Source organism: Homo sapiens, chromosome 5, assembly GCF_000001405.40.
Source record: "Homo sapiens chromosome 5, GRCh38.p14 Primary Assembly".
In the NCBI taxonomy this organism is placed as follows: domain Eukaryota; kingdom Metazoa; phylum Chordata; class Mammalia; order Primates; family Hominidae; genus Homo; species Homo sapiens.
Genome location: NC_000005.10, coordinates 151,318,053 through 151,332,978, shown reverse-complemented (window position 1 = coordinate 151,332,978; position 14,926 = coordinate 151,318,053). Strand labels below are relative to the sequence as shown.

Sequence of the window (14,926 nt, the reverse complement as noted above, 5' to 3'; positions counted from 1 at the left end):
TATCCTCCTATCGACATGAGTTTCCTAATCTTTTAAAATCAAGAAGAACCATGGTGTCCAATTTAAAGGATTTGATTAAACATAAAGGAGTTTTAACCTGGAAAGTTCTGTATTTACAGTCTGTAGTCTCTACTTCCACACTTGTGGAAGGGTAGTGTTGTTTATATATTTTTAAAAGTTACTTTTAGTGTACATACAGTAACATTCACTTTTTTGGTGTACATTCCTGTAAGTTTCAAGAAGCATGTAGAGGAATAAATGCACCAAAGTCAGAATGCAGAACAATTCTCCTTCTGTTCTCTGCCTGTACTGTCTTCTCTTTTCCAAAATGTCACATATATGGGATCATACAGTATGTATGAGATTGAGACTGGCTTCTTTTACTTAGCCTAATGCATTTTAAATTCGTCCATGCTGTTGCACACATCAATAACACCTTGCTTTCTATTGCAGAGCGTCCACTGTCTGGGCAGTACCACAGCTTATCAACGCACCTGTCAAAGAACATTTGGGTTGTTTCTAGTTTTTGACAATCATGAATGATACTGCCGTAAGCATTTGTGTACAGGTTTTTGACATTGAACATCTTTTCATTTGCTTGTTGGCAATTTGCACATCTTCTTTGGAGAAACATCAAGTCCTTTGCTTATTTTTAATTAGGCTGTTTGTCTTTTTGTTGAGTTTTAAGAGTTCTTTATATATTCCAGATACAAAATCCTTATCAGAAAAATGGTTTGCAAATATTTTTTCTTATTCTTGTCTTCTCCTCTTCTTTTTTCCTTTTAAATTTTTTCCTCTTAAAAATGAGATGGAGCCGGGCGCGGTGGTTCACGTCGGTAATCTCAGCACTTTGGGAGGCCGAGGCAGGCAGATCACTTGAGGTCAGGAGTTCTAGACCAGTCTGGCTAACATAGTGAAACCCCGTCTCTACTAAAAATGCAAAAATTAACTGGGAGTGGCAGCATGTACCTGTAATCCCAGATACTCAGAAGGCTGAGGCAGGAGAATCACTTGAACCCAGGAAGCGGAAGTTGCAGTGAGCTAAGATGGCGCCACTGCACTCCAGCCTGGGTGACAGAGCAAGACTCTGTCCCATAAAAAAAAAGAGAGATGGGATCTTGCTATGCTGCCCAAGGTGGGTTTTAATCTCTGGGCTCAAGTGATCCACCTGCCTCAGCCTCCCAGGTAGTGGGGATTATAGTTGCATGACCACAGTCCATCACACCTGGCTTCTCACTTTCTTGATAGTGAACTGTGATGCACAAAAGTTTTTGATTTTGATAAATTCCAATTTATCCTCTATCTTTCTGGTTGTGCTTTTTGTCTTATGTCTAAGAATCTATTGCAAAATCTAGGGTCATGTCTAGATATGGTGGCTCACACCTTTAATCCAGAACTTTAAGAGGCTGATGCAGAAGGATCACTTGAGGGCAGGAGTTTGAGACCAGCCTGGGCAACATACAGAGACCCTGTCTCTGCAAAAAAAAATTTTTTAATTAGCTGGGTGTAGTGGCACACACCTGTAGTCCCAGCTACTCAGGAAACCAAGCAGGAGAATCACTTGAGCCCAGGAGTTCAAGGCTGCAGTGAGCTATGATTGTACCACAGCACTCCAGCCTGGGTGACAGAGTAAGACCCTGTCTTAAAACAAAACAAAACGAAACAAAAACAGAAAAAAAGAAAGAAAGAAAGAAAGAAAGAAATCATAGGTCATAGAGATTTACCTCAGAGTTTTCTTCTAAGAGTTTTATGGTTTTAGCTCTTACATGTAGGTCTTTTATCCATTTTCAGTTAATTTTTGTATGTGGTATGAGGTAAGGGTCAAACTTCATGTTTTCATATGTGGTTATCCAGTTATCCCAGCACAATTTGTTGAAAAGGCTATTCTTTCCATATTGTATAGTTTTGACACTCTTGTCAAAAATCAACTGACCATTGATGTATAGGTTTATTTCTGTACTCTCAATTCTATTCCATTGGTCTATAAGATCATAAGTCTACCATTATGCCAGAACCACACAGTTTTGATTACTATAGTTCTATAGTATTCCACTTTAATTGGCCTATTGACTTTTTGGCTATATCTTTTTCTATAGTACTTTTAGTAGTTTATCTAGGTACTATAATATACGTTTTCACAATTTACTGTGAGATAATATTTTATCATTGCTAGTAAACTGTCAAAATTTTACAATTACATAGGGCCCTTCCGCCTTTATGTTGTATTGCCTTATGTATCTAAACACACTGAAACACCAACAATGTTATCATCTTTGCTTTCAATAGTCATGCATAGTCCTTGTAATAAACTTACTAGGGAAAAAATAGGCTATTATATCTACTCAGATATTTACCATTTCTGTCGCTCTTTCTTTATTCTTGAAATCCCATTTCCTTCTGGCATCATTTCCCTTCAGCATGAAGAACCTTCATTAACATTTCTTTTAAAGCAGGTCTACTAGTGACAAATTATCTTCATTTTCTTGATCTGAGATTGTCTTTATTTTGCCTTTATTCCTAGAGGATATTTTTGCACAATATGGAATTCTAGGTGGACAATTTTTTTCATCATTTTGAAAATATGACTTCCTTTCTTTTTGCCCTCAGTGGTTTCTGATGAGAAATCTGCAATTGTTTGAATCCTTGTTCTCCTATGTGTTTTTCTCTGGTTGCTTTCATAACTTTTTAAAATCTTCTTTAATCAGCAGTTATACTGTATTATATTTAATATAGTTTCTTTGAGTTTGCCCTCTACGAGATTTCTTGAATCTGTAAAAGTTTGTCTTTTACCTAATTTACCTAATTTCAGCCATTATTTTTTTCAAAGGTTTTTTCTTCACCAATCTCTTTTTCTTCTCCATCGGAGATCCCAATAACCTGAATGCTAGACTTTTTGATATATAGTCATCGCTTAGCATATATAGGACATTGGTTCCAGGACCCCGCTCCCCCACCCCCCTAAACACACACACCCAGTGTATAACCAATCTGTGCCTACTCAAGTCCTGCAGGTGGCCCTGCAGAACCTGAGTATATGAAAAGTCAGCCCTCCATACATACAGGTTTTGCAGCCCATGAATACTGCAGTTTTGATGTGCATTTGGTTGAAAATATCCACCTATTTGAGGGCCTGCGCGGTTCAAACCCATGTTGTTCAAGAGTCAACTGTATATCCCACAGGTTTCTGAGGCTCTATTCATTTTTTTAAAAAAATCTCTTTGCTCTTTGTTGTTCAGATTTTGTCATTCCTGTTTATCCTCAAATTTACTGAGTTTGTTTTCTGTTATCTACATTCCGCTATCAAGCCCCTACAGTCAGTTATTTAAATTTTTCTTATTTTCCAGTTATAATATTTCCATTTGTTTCTTTTACATTGTGTCTACTTTGCTAAGAACTTGTATCTGTCCATTTATTTTAATAGCGTTCTCCCTTACTTTTTGGAGTACGGTTATATTACCTGCTTTAAAGTCTTTGCCTAATATTGCCAACATTTGAGTCATCTTAAGGTTGGCATCTGTTGTCTTTTCTCTTGAAAGTTGATGAGATTTTTCTGGTTCTTTGTAGGCTGAATAATTTTAAACTGTATCCTATGCATTTTGAATATTATTTTAGGAGACTCTTCAGAATGCTGATTTTTGGTTTTAGCAAACCATCTACCTAGTTAGATTCAGCTCATAAGTCCTTGCTCACCTTCTGTGGGCCATGGTTCCAATATCCAGTTAGTTTTCAAAGCCCATGAAGTGATATTTGGCTCTACCCTGCTCATGTGCTACACAGTGCCAATTGGCAGACAGGACTCTACACAGTAGTTCAGTTTTCAAAGCCTTTGCTTTGATGCTTCCCATCAGTTCCACATATGTACAGCTCAGGGCTGGGCCCAGGATATTATTCACAGATTTTAGGAGATTGCTTTTTCCAGTTTCCTCTTCTCTGTGTTTTCCCGCACACTCGCCAGCTCGCAGTGGGTTCTTTTTCCCATCCTCTGGCTAGAAATCTAGGCTTTTAGCCTCCTACACTGTCATGTACTTCCTGTGACCAAGTCTGCCTCTGGGGTTGAGCAATGAGTGAAAAGAGAAAGAAAAAGCACAATAGTGATTCTTTCCTGGACCAGTTTCGTGAGCAGGCAAATCATGCAGCCACATAGGGTCCAACCTTCAGAAGAATCTCACACTTAGTTTAACACTCTGCTGGAACCATCTTTCACCAAGGAACCCTGCATTTTCATTTTGTACTGGGGCCCATAAATTAGGTAGCCAGTACTGATTTCCCACACTCTTCAGACTCCTAAAGCCAATTTTCCTAGTACTTCTGTGTAGAGATAAGGATTTCTATCTCAGATTTTTAGGTGCCTGTGTGACCACTACAGCCACTGATACACCAGAATGCTGCTTAGTGACTAGGACTTGCCTTGAGGTCATGGCCTGGAGATAAAACAAAGAAACAGAAAAATAGAGATTCTCTCCACGCTCTTCATCCCACAGGGGACCCTATTCTAAGTCATCTGTCCAAAAAGAAGTTTCTCTTGGTGTTATTTTCTGTCTGTATGCACCGCATAGTTCTAAGATTTGGGTGTCCCTTGAGGTTAAAAACTAGGATGTATGGGAAGAAGAAAATCAGGAAACTCACCACCATGACAGTCATTTTTTCTTTTTGATTTCCTTCCCCATTCTGCCTGCTACTATTTACTCTTCAGGACCTGTGCATAATTGCTTTATGTATTTCATCCACGATTTTTAGTTGTATTAGTGAAAGAGATATTGTGAAGTGTGCTTACTTCATCTAGATGGAACTGGAAGCACTTTGTTTTTAGAATTTGGAATAGTCATGGACAAAAGCAGAGTGCAGCAGTTGAGCAGGTAACTTTGGAGGCAGAATGTGCTGGAATCTTGCTTTGGCCAGGGCTACTCTCTGAACTCTAATTCTCCACCTCTAAACTGATGACAATATTTGTTCAGTAAGTATTTCTTGAATGCCTATTATGTGCTTGTGATTCTTAGTATTAGTTGAAATTATCTTAAGAAGAACTCTGCTAGCCCAGTCTCCAATTTTACAGAAGAGGGAGAGCCCCAGAGAGAGAAGGTGACTTCAGTTAGATCACCAGCTAGGAACTGTGCAGATGTGAATAAAACCTAGTACGTCTGACTCTCCATCCAGGGACCTTCCCACTGTACGTCAACAGCCATTTATCTCTTTGACTGACTGATTGTGGAGAGAGAGAGAGAGAGAAAGAAAGGAAGCCAGCTACCCAGTCTGAGCAGGCCTTGTGAAAAGATCATTTTTGGCCTTGAGAATATATGCAGCAAAATTGTGTTACAGGGTGCAAGAGCTCAGGTTGGATTGTCTGCTCTCCATACAATTATTGTATAATCATCAAACATCCTCCTGAGCACCTGCTGCAACGAGACCTAATCCAGAAGAAAGTGGAAAGGCATGGGGAGGACCCAACATGACACTGCCCTCAAGCATCTTCCAAATGCCTGGAATAGAGAGAGGGTTAGGGAGTTTCAGGGCTGGAAGTTTGCATGTACGACAGAAAAGAATTCAACAGTACAAGGGAAAAGATGCTAAATTCCTTAGTAACAAATATACCCATTGCTATAGGAGTAGAAGCAGGTACTTGGACTTTGGATAACAGCCCTGGTCTACAACCTGAATCTGACACTTTCTGGTTCTGCAACTTGGGATCAGTTATCTCATTTTCAGAGCCTTGTTTTCCTCATCTGTAAAACAAGAATTATGGAGGTACCGACTTCATAGAGTTACGGTCTTCACAGTATTAAAAAATAACAACCGCCAACATTTACTAAGCCCTTAACTGTGCCATTATGGTGCTTGTGTAATTCTCTACAAAATTTGCAAAATTCAGCCACATGTGATGTCTCTCGCCTGTAATCCCAGCACTTTGGGAGGCCGATGTGGGAGGATCGCTTGAGCCCAAGAGTTCAAGACCAGTGTGAGCAACATGGCAAAACTCTGTTTCTACAAAAAAAATACAAAAATCAGCCGGGCATGGCAGCACATGCCTATAGTCCCAGCTCCTCAGGAGGCTGAGATGGGAGGGATCTCTTGAGCTCGGGAGGCAGAGGTTGCAGTGAACTGTGATTGTACTACTGCACTCCAGCCTGGGTGACAGAGTGAGACTCTCCAAAAAAGAAAAAAAAAAAAAGGTAAATTCATTTGAGCCCGTTTTCAGATAAGAAAACAGATCAGCTAAATAGTGCATGTAGAGAATGCTTAGCACACAGCCTGAACAAGGAGTAGGAGAAGGTGGGGGTGGTCTCCAGGACAATAAGAGCCTGAGGAGGAAATTATGGGATGAGAGACAGGAAGATTGGTTTCAAAGACAGAAGAGACCTTCAAATGTCCAACCGGCAAGAGGCAGACTGGCCTCAACTTGGATTCTCTTAGAACCAGGTATGCATTTAGGGGAAGAAGGATTCTGAGAACAGAAGAGTGAGAACCTGGGGTGTGGGGAAATGCACTGCTGGCAGAACCAGGAAGCGCTCTCTGGTCCCAGCTGCCACCAGCACCCTGTGTTCCTGGAGTCTCAGCCTCCCCACTGTACAGTGATGGGGTTGGCGGAGGGAGTCTGCACAGGAATTAGGAGTTTCAAACCCAAATGCCTTTGGAAGGCAGGTATAATTCACTGGTAGGTGGGGGTGAGGGGAGGTGGGCCTGGTGAATGGGAAAAGAATGTTGTGCCTAAAGGCATTCATATTCAATTGTCGAAAGACTGTGCTGTCAAAACAAAACGCATCTGCTGGCCAGATCTAGCTGCCCCAGAGTGTTGAGATCTTTGGTCTGGATAAAACCTCAGTGGCCCTTCCAGCTCTTAAGGGTCCAGGGCTCATCAGATGACTCCAGGCCTTTCTTTTTATCTCCTTCCTCCTCCTTACCCTCATCTTCCTACCTTTTTTCCTCCTCTTTTATTTCCTTTTTTTGTTTAATTGAAGCACACCTAACATAAAATTTACTCATCTTAACCACTTTCAAGTATACATACATATTAAGTAAATTCAGATTATTGCTTTCTTTCATCTGCAGAACTCTTCAGCTTGCAAAACTGAAACTCTGTACCCATTAAACAATAACTCCCCATACTCTCCTCATGCCAGTCCTTCCCAACTAGCATTCTGCCTCTTTGGACCTACCTACTCCAGGTACCTCATATAAGTAGAATCAGGCAGTCCTTGTCTTTTTGTGACTGGCTTATTTCACTCAGCAATAATGTCCTCAAGATCCATCCGTGGGTTAGCATGAGACAAAACTTCCTTCTTTTTTAAGGGCTAAATAACGTTCCATTGCATGGATACACCCACATTTTGTGTATCCATTTTCTGTTGCTAGACCCTTGGGTTGCTTCCACCTTTTGGCTATGTGAATAGCACTACTGTGAACATAAGTGTACAAATATCTCTTTGAGGCCCTGCTTTCAGTTCTTTGGGGTAGACATCCAGAAGTGGAATGCCATTTTTCTTTTTGTTCATGTTACTCTTTCTCCTTCTTACATTGTGATGTTTCTGTAGGTTCTGCCTCTGGAAAACAAGATGAAGAATGCCCGCCACTTCCCAGCCATCCTGTCTTTGGGAATGTCCATCGTCACTTCCCTATACATTGGCATGGCGGCTCTGGGCTACCTGCGGTTTGGAGATGACATCAAGGCCAGCATAAGCCTTAACCTGCCTAACTGCTGGTATCTTCATGGGCTGTCAGGTGGTGGGGACTCAGGAATGGGTGGAAACGTATAGGTCACTTCCTCCTCCCTTCCACAGCTGGGAAACTGAGGTCTAGAGAGCCTCCCACAGAAGAAGCAGAATTGTCATTGGAACCACGGTCTCCAGATTCTCTGTCCTGGGAGTTCCTCCTTCAACAACAGCCTCCCAAATTGAGTTAAGCCTTGACATCTTAGTGTGAAGGAGGACATGACTTAAGAAGAGAGGACACAAGTGAGAGCCCTTGGTCTACTAAGGAGAGAAGGGAAGGGCACTGGGAGATGGCAAGAGACAGAGAGAGGAGTCGGGAGGTGGCCACACTTCCCATAGTCTTGTTTGCCACAGCCAGTGGTTCACATTCCCCAAGTCAGAGTAACCAGATAGAAAAGTGGAAAACAAAAACCAATTGGGCCAACCTGGGCAACATGGTAAGACCCCACTTCTACAAAAAAAATTTCCATAGCTTAGCTGAGTATGATGTCTCATACCTGTAGTCCCAGCTGCTTGGGATGCTGAGGTAGGAAGATCACTTGAGCCCAGGAGTTTGAGGTTACAGAAGGCTATCATCACACCACTGCACTCCACTCCAGCCTGAGTGACACAGTGAGACCCTATCTCTTAAAAACAAACAAACAGGCCAGGCGTGATGGCTCATGCCTGTAATCCCAGCACTTTGGGAGGCCAGGGTGGGTGGATCACCTGAGGTCAGGAGTTCAAGACCAGCCTGGCCAACATGGCAAAACCTCGTCTCTACTAATAATACAAAATTAGCCGGGCATGGTGGTGGGTGCCTGTAATCCCAGCTACTCGGGAGGCTGAGGCAGGAGAATCACTTAAACCTGGGAGGCAGAGGTTTCAGTGAGCCAAGATGGTGCCATTGAACTCCAGCCTGGGCAACAAGAGTGAAACTCCATCTCAAAATAAATAAATAAATAAATAAATAAATAAATAAATAAATAAGCCAGGCATGGTGGCACACACCTATAGTCTCAGCTACTCAGGAGGCTGAGGCAGGAGAATCACTTGAACCTGGGAGGTGGAGGTTGCAGTGAACCAAGATAGCACCACAGCACTCCAGCCTGGGCGGCAGAGACTCTGTCTCAAACAAACAAACAAACAAACAAAACAATTTGGGAAGACCATTGGAATCTGTAAAAGTCTTATGTTCTAGCATACTCAATTCATGCAATAGTTAGCAGCCCCATAGACATCAACAGTGCCATATTGAACAGACGCATGAACCCACATCCCACTGTGCGGGATTTTCTCCCACACCAGGTCATGTCATTAATTACAGGACATTTCGGTCTTCTCAAGCGGACAGTCACAGTCCCTTGGAGACCTAATTTGCCTAAATGTGGCTCCTTTCCCAACATGATAATGCCACTCATCAAGCATTTACTGCATGCCAATTATAAGCAGATGCCAAGTGGCACTGATGTGAGTAGACTATAACCTTGGAGGTTCACTATCTTCGCCGGCTCCTGATCCGGTGGGAATGGGGGAGGAACAGATAGTGTATGTACACAAACAATAACATAGAAAAAGAAGCTCTCCAGAGTAGCAAACAGGCCTTGGGGATTTCCAAGGAAAGAAAGCACATCGGAAGGAGACAACAGGGAAACTCCTTGTCCGGCAGGTCAACTCAATCCAAACATGGACCACTCTGGTACACCTGAGTCCAGGTCCCAGTTGGACTGCCTACTAGCTTGTGGTTGTAGATGATTTACTTCAACTCTCTGAACCTCAGTTGCCTCATTTATAAACTGGAGTTGTCATGAGGATTAAGTTGAGCTGTGTCTACAAGGATCTGGCTGTGGTACCTGCTCAGAACAGGGGAATTTCAAAAACTTGGAGGGGTTTGAACAGATGGAAATGGAGTAAAGAGGGTGCCCAGGCAGCAGGACTAGTGTGAGCAAGAAACACAGAAATGTGGAAGTTAGCCTTTTTAAGGAATGGGCTAAACACACACACACCCATTTATTTATTTATTTATTTATTTATTTATTTATCTATCTATCTATTTATTTTTGAGACAGGGTCTCACTCTGTCGCCCAGGCTAGAGTGCAGTGGTGCGATCTCAGCTCACTGCAACCTCTACCTCCCGGGTTCAAGTAATTCTCCTGCCTCAGCCTCCCAAGTAGCTGGGATTACAGGTGTGCACCACCACACGTGGGTAATTTTTTATTTTTGGTAGTGGTAGGGTTTCGCCATGTTGGCCAGACTGGTCTCAAATTCGTGACCTCAGGTGATCCACCGCCCTCGGCCTCCCAAAGTGCTGGGATTATAGGCGTGAGCCACTGTGCCCAGCATCACACATTTATTAAACATGGAAATGCATCTACTGCATTAGTGGACTGAAGGAAAACAGTCACATCTCAATAGATCAAATAGAAAAAAAACTTAGATAGAACTCAATATCCCTTGAAGCCTCACACACACTCTGCCCCTAGCTTGAGGCTGGCAAGTACCCCTGTTTCTCCTTATATTCCACCCTGACTCCCCCTAACTTCCACACAACCCTATTTATAAACTGTCTCTTCTTCCAAGGATTTGGGATTCTGCAGTTCTCTCAACTAGAGGCAACAGTTATGTGCCTAGAGCTTTGGGGAATCCAGATAATTCCTAAGGACTGATCACAAAGGACTAGAGTCTTTTAGATCCAGGGCTTTTGGTCTTAGCCACTTATCATCTGTGTCTCCCTGGGCAAAGTATCTGGCCTGAGCCTGAGCCTCTCTTTTTTAAAACATAAGATTGAGCATCAGATGGTAGCGATTTGCGAAGGTGCAATACATACTCAAGCTCAAGATGGTTTTTATTTCATTTAGAAATGACCCTTTCCATTGTTTCCACTGAATCCAGAACCGCACTATTTTCACTGCATGCTCTGCTGTGACTCCCTCTTGATTCTTAGAAGGTCCCTCTCAGTCATTTTCAGAAAGGGAAACAAAAGCCCAAGTCATTGTCCCAAGGTCAGAGGTTAATGTTCCAAGGAGGCCAGTGTCAGAACACAGTGGCCGTGGAGAGCAGCTCTGTGGTTTGTCTTGCAGGCTGTACCAGTCTGTCAAGCTTCTCTACATTGCCGGCATCCTGTGCACCTATGCCCTGCAGTTCTACGTCCCTGCAGAAATCATCATCCCCTTTGCCATCTCCCGGGTGTCAACACGCTGGGCACTGCCTCTGGATCTGTCCATTCGCCTCGTCATGGTCTGCCTGACATGTGAGTAGAAAGGAGAGTGCAGTGTTCCTGCTGATCTTTTCTGAGGGCTATAAAGAATCAGCCAGATGGGCCGGATGCATTGGCTTACACCTGTAATCCTGGCACTTTGGGAGGCCGAGGCGGGTGGATCACCTGAGGTCAGGAGTTTCAGACAAGCCTGGCCAAAATGGTGAAACCCTGTCTCTACTAAAAATACAACAATTAACCAGGCGTGGTGGCACGTGCCTGTAATCCCAGCTACTCAAGAACCAAGGCAAGAGGATCACTTGAACATGTAGGGCAGAGGTTGCAGTGAGCCGAGATCGTGCCACTGCACTCCAGCCTGGGCAACAGAGCAAGATTCATCTCAAAAAAAAAAAAAAAAGAATCAGTCAGATGGTAGAGGGCAGTCATGACAATCAGCATTTACTGAGCACTTACTGTATTCCAGGGACCATTTTAAAGCTTTACAAGTATTCACTCATCTAAACAACCCCATTCTTACATGTACCTAATTAGACAGATTTGTTGGTGTTCAGCCTAAGGGATTGACACAGCTTATCAAACAATAACTGTAAGAACTTGCTGCGCACTCTGGCACATGCCTGTGATCCCAGCACTTTGAGAGGTCAAGGCAGGCGGATTGCTTGAGTTCAGGAGTTTTGAGACCAGCCTGGACAACATGGTGAAACCCCATCTCTATTAAAAAAAAAAAAAAAAAGAAAGAAAAGAAAATAGCCAGGCATGGGTGCCCCATGTTTGTAGTCCCAGCTACTTGGGAGGCTAGGGTGGGAAGATTGCTTGAGCCCAGGAGGCTGAGGCTGCAGTGAGCTGAGATTGAACCATTGCACTCCAGCCTGGGCAACAGAGTCAGACCCTGTCTCAAATATATTAATAAATAAATAAATAAATAAATAAATAAATCATAAGAACTGACATGTATTGAACACTTACTGTGTGCCAGGCACTGTGTTCAGCTCTTTCTAGTCTAGATTTCATAATATTTTATTCAGTCCTCACAACAATTATCATGAGGTAGAACTATGATAAACCCTACTTTATGAAAGAGAAAACTGAGGCAGTGAGTGATTAATAATTGGCCAGAAAGTGTCAGAGGTAGGATTTGAATTCAAGTCATGTAAGTCTAGAGCCAGTGCCCTTCACCTCCAGGGCAGACATTGAAAATGGGACTCTAATTTGGCAACAGGTGTTGTTTGAACCTCACAATGTTGTATAAAGTGGGCCAACATTTAAAATGTGGGCAATCTCCATACAAATGCAGATTTTTAAAATTTTTTGGTGGGGCTACTATAAAATGATTGGGCAAGGCTGGGATCACATTCCCCATCGGCAACAATCAGCTGGGGCTCCTTGACCCCTGGACGGTCCTGTGCTTGCCTATTGGCTGAGGTCATTCCCACTCCCTGGCTCACAGCAGCCCCCATGACCCGGAGTACCCCTTTCTGCAAGTATTCCACCAGAGGCCGAAGGAGATGGCTAGAGATTCCTGTGTAGAGTAGAGGTGGCCCAGCTGTCCCTAAGATGCCTTTTGATTGTAATTGCAAAAGTGTCTTCTTTTTAAGGCCAAATTGTATTCCACTGTACGTAGAAACCACATTTTCTTTATCCATTCATCTGTCCATGGAAATTTAGGAAATTCTTTTTTTTTTGCATAACAAAGTGTTACTTTTAGATAATTATCAGTACACCGAGTAATAACATGTAACGAGTTTTTGAATTCTACCATCTAGTAATTTTGATTCAGAGAAACTAAAAGCAGCCCAAACAGTTATGCTAGTATTCATTATTCTAACCATTAGCAGGAATGGACTAATTTAAGGGTGGCTGCTGCTTCACACAGATTACAAATAACCATTTACTACTTTTTCATGGTTAGAATCCTGACATTCAAGAAAGCACTACAGGGAAAAAAAAAATATTAATCTCTTTCTTCTTCAAAGAACTTTTTTTTACTAGAAAAAAGAAAGAAAAAGTCAACATTGATACACTGATACATATGTTACTTCAGCTAATAGGCATGGGAAAACATGACATATACCCATTAAATTTCTACGAAATACGATGTAAAAAGAAAATCTATAGATAAGTTCTAAGTCTGTACAAAGAAGCTAGATTTTATATTCTCTGAGATGTGAAGGGACCTGCTATATAATATACAGAAATCATTTAATGCCTTTTCATAAGAATATATCTCAAGCTGCATATTCCTCGAGGGCATCTAAAATGCCAATCTGTGGTACAGGCGCTTCTTTCTCCCACTCTTCTTCATTTATGCAGCAGTTTTCATGGATTTCTGTCCAGGTGTCACAGACAAAAGCCAAGAGACTAGCCAAGCCTTCACCCCCATTCTGCTGGAAGTAGTTCTGGAGGCTGGTCCTCTTCTTCTGACCCTCCTGTGCCACTTCAGTGCCAAGGCTGCTGTGAGATTCCAGGGCTGCAGCTTCCTTGGTCTTGAACTCTTTCTCCCTCTGCAGGCAGTGCTGTTCAGTTTCAGTTCAGCAGTTGAAGCCTCAGCTGCTTCCTTGGCCTGCTTCAGCCTCTATGTTTTTGCTCACACTTGGACACCTTCTCAGTGGCTGCATCTTGGCCTGCAGCAGCTGCTGGATCCCCTGAGACTGGCTGAAGTGGCTGTTGATTTTCACTTTTCTAGGCCAGCCCACAGCATTCATTCGACACTGATTTTCTTTTTTTGAAGTGATTAGTTCTCAATTTGACCTTGAATGCAGGAACTATCCAGTATCTTACATATTCCAGACAGATCAAGGAATTTGCCCCACAGTATAAAGATAACAATCCCTTAAGCCTACACTACACTTCTTCATGCATTGTCAATTAGCATGTATGAGTAAATAACTTGGAGTAATAGCAAAGATAACTTTTCTGAATGCTTTACATGAAAAATCTCATTGAAGACTTTTATGTCCTATGCAGAATGAATCACAATACCTAAAAGGATAGTAGCCTTCATCTCCATTTTGCAGCTGAGGAAACAAGCTGAGGAAGGGGTGGGACTTGGGCAAGGCCATACAAGAATGAACCAGACTCCTGCCTTCCAGACCTGTTCTGTTCTACCACACTCCTCCAAAGGAGGCCTGCTCAAGGCTCCTGGGATTTATTGGTGACCAGGAACATTTTTCATCAAATATAATAAAAAATGTAAAAGCCCAGGTCTGTAAAACGTCCTGCTAAAAAAATATAATTTCAAAATTTTTAGCTTTTCGTGTTTCTTTGTTAGGGGTTTTCTGACATGTGTATAAAACCTGGAGAAGACACTTCTTTAAAGACACCTCCCGGATTTTCTTCCAACTGAAGATCTCTTTGTATTATAAATAATTTCATATTCTAATTGTTTGCAAGTAAAAGGTTCTTATACTCATGTTAATTATTTATTAAAATTCTAGGCATTTTAAAAAATAATTTATTTATTTATATTATTTATATTTATTATATTTTTATATATATAAAATATTTATTATATATAAAAATATATTTTATAAATAAATATTTATAAATAATTATTATATTTTTATTTATTATTTATTTTTATTATAGATAAAATATATAAAATATATTTTATTTATATATAAAATAAATAATAAATTTGTATTATTTATTTATATTATTTATATTATTTTTTATTTATTAAAATGCTAGGCATTTTAGAAGACTTCTAAAAAATTTGTACATTGATACAAATTTTGATAGTACAAACATTGACAGTTTGTACATTGATATATTCCAAACAGCTTGAATGGTTCCCAGCACTGTTATTTAGTGTTATTTATTAAGTAAGAGCTTAAGTTTTGTTGGATATGTAAGGATCCAAAATGCACCTCGGTAGCATAAAGATTATTTTAAGCTAAAAATGCCTGAACAAAAAGAAGCTGCAGAAAGAAACTTTGTCTAATCTTCTTTTGCTGATGTAAGCGGGACCTCCTGACAAATATAGCTGCCATAAATCCCTTCTCTGGGAAGTTTAGAGCCAGAAAAGAG

The 14,926-nt window shown here is 41.4% G+C and overlaps 1 protein-coding gene and 1 pseudogene across 3 annotated transcripts in view; one reads left to right on the top strand and one right to left on the bottom strand.

Annotated features, from left to right (window-relative positions):
- Positions 1 to 14,926, top strand: part of SLC36A2 (solute carrier family 36 member 2) — a 32,588-nt gene that overhangs the window by 14,581 nt on the left and 3,081 nt on the right. Inside the window, exons 8-10 of one of the 3 annotated variants that reach the window (XM_005268377.5) lie at positions 7,527 to 7,693; positions 10,764 to 10,933; positions 13,865 to 14,146. In XM_005268377.5, coding sequence (XP_005268434.1) covers positions 7,527 to 7,693; positions 10,764 to 10,933; positions 13,865 to 13,866 — 339 coding nt within the window. In that variant the 3' untranslated portion in view covers positions 13,867 to 14,146. Of the gene's footprint in view, positions 1 to 453; positions 551 to 7,526; positions 7,694 to 10,763; positions 10,934 to 13,864; positions 14,147 to 14,926 lie in introns of those variants that run through there. The other 2 variants (NM_181776.3, XM_017009083.3) reach the window with 2 other exon arrangements.
- ATP6V1G1P5 (ATPase H+ transporting V1 subunit G1 pseudogene 5) lies at positions 13,201 to 13,554 on the bottom strand (annotated as a pseudogene).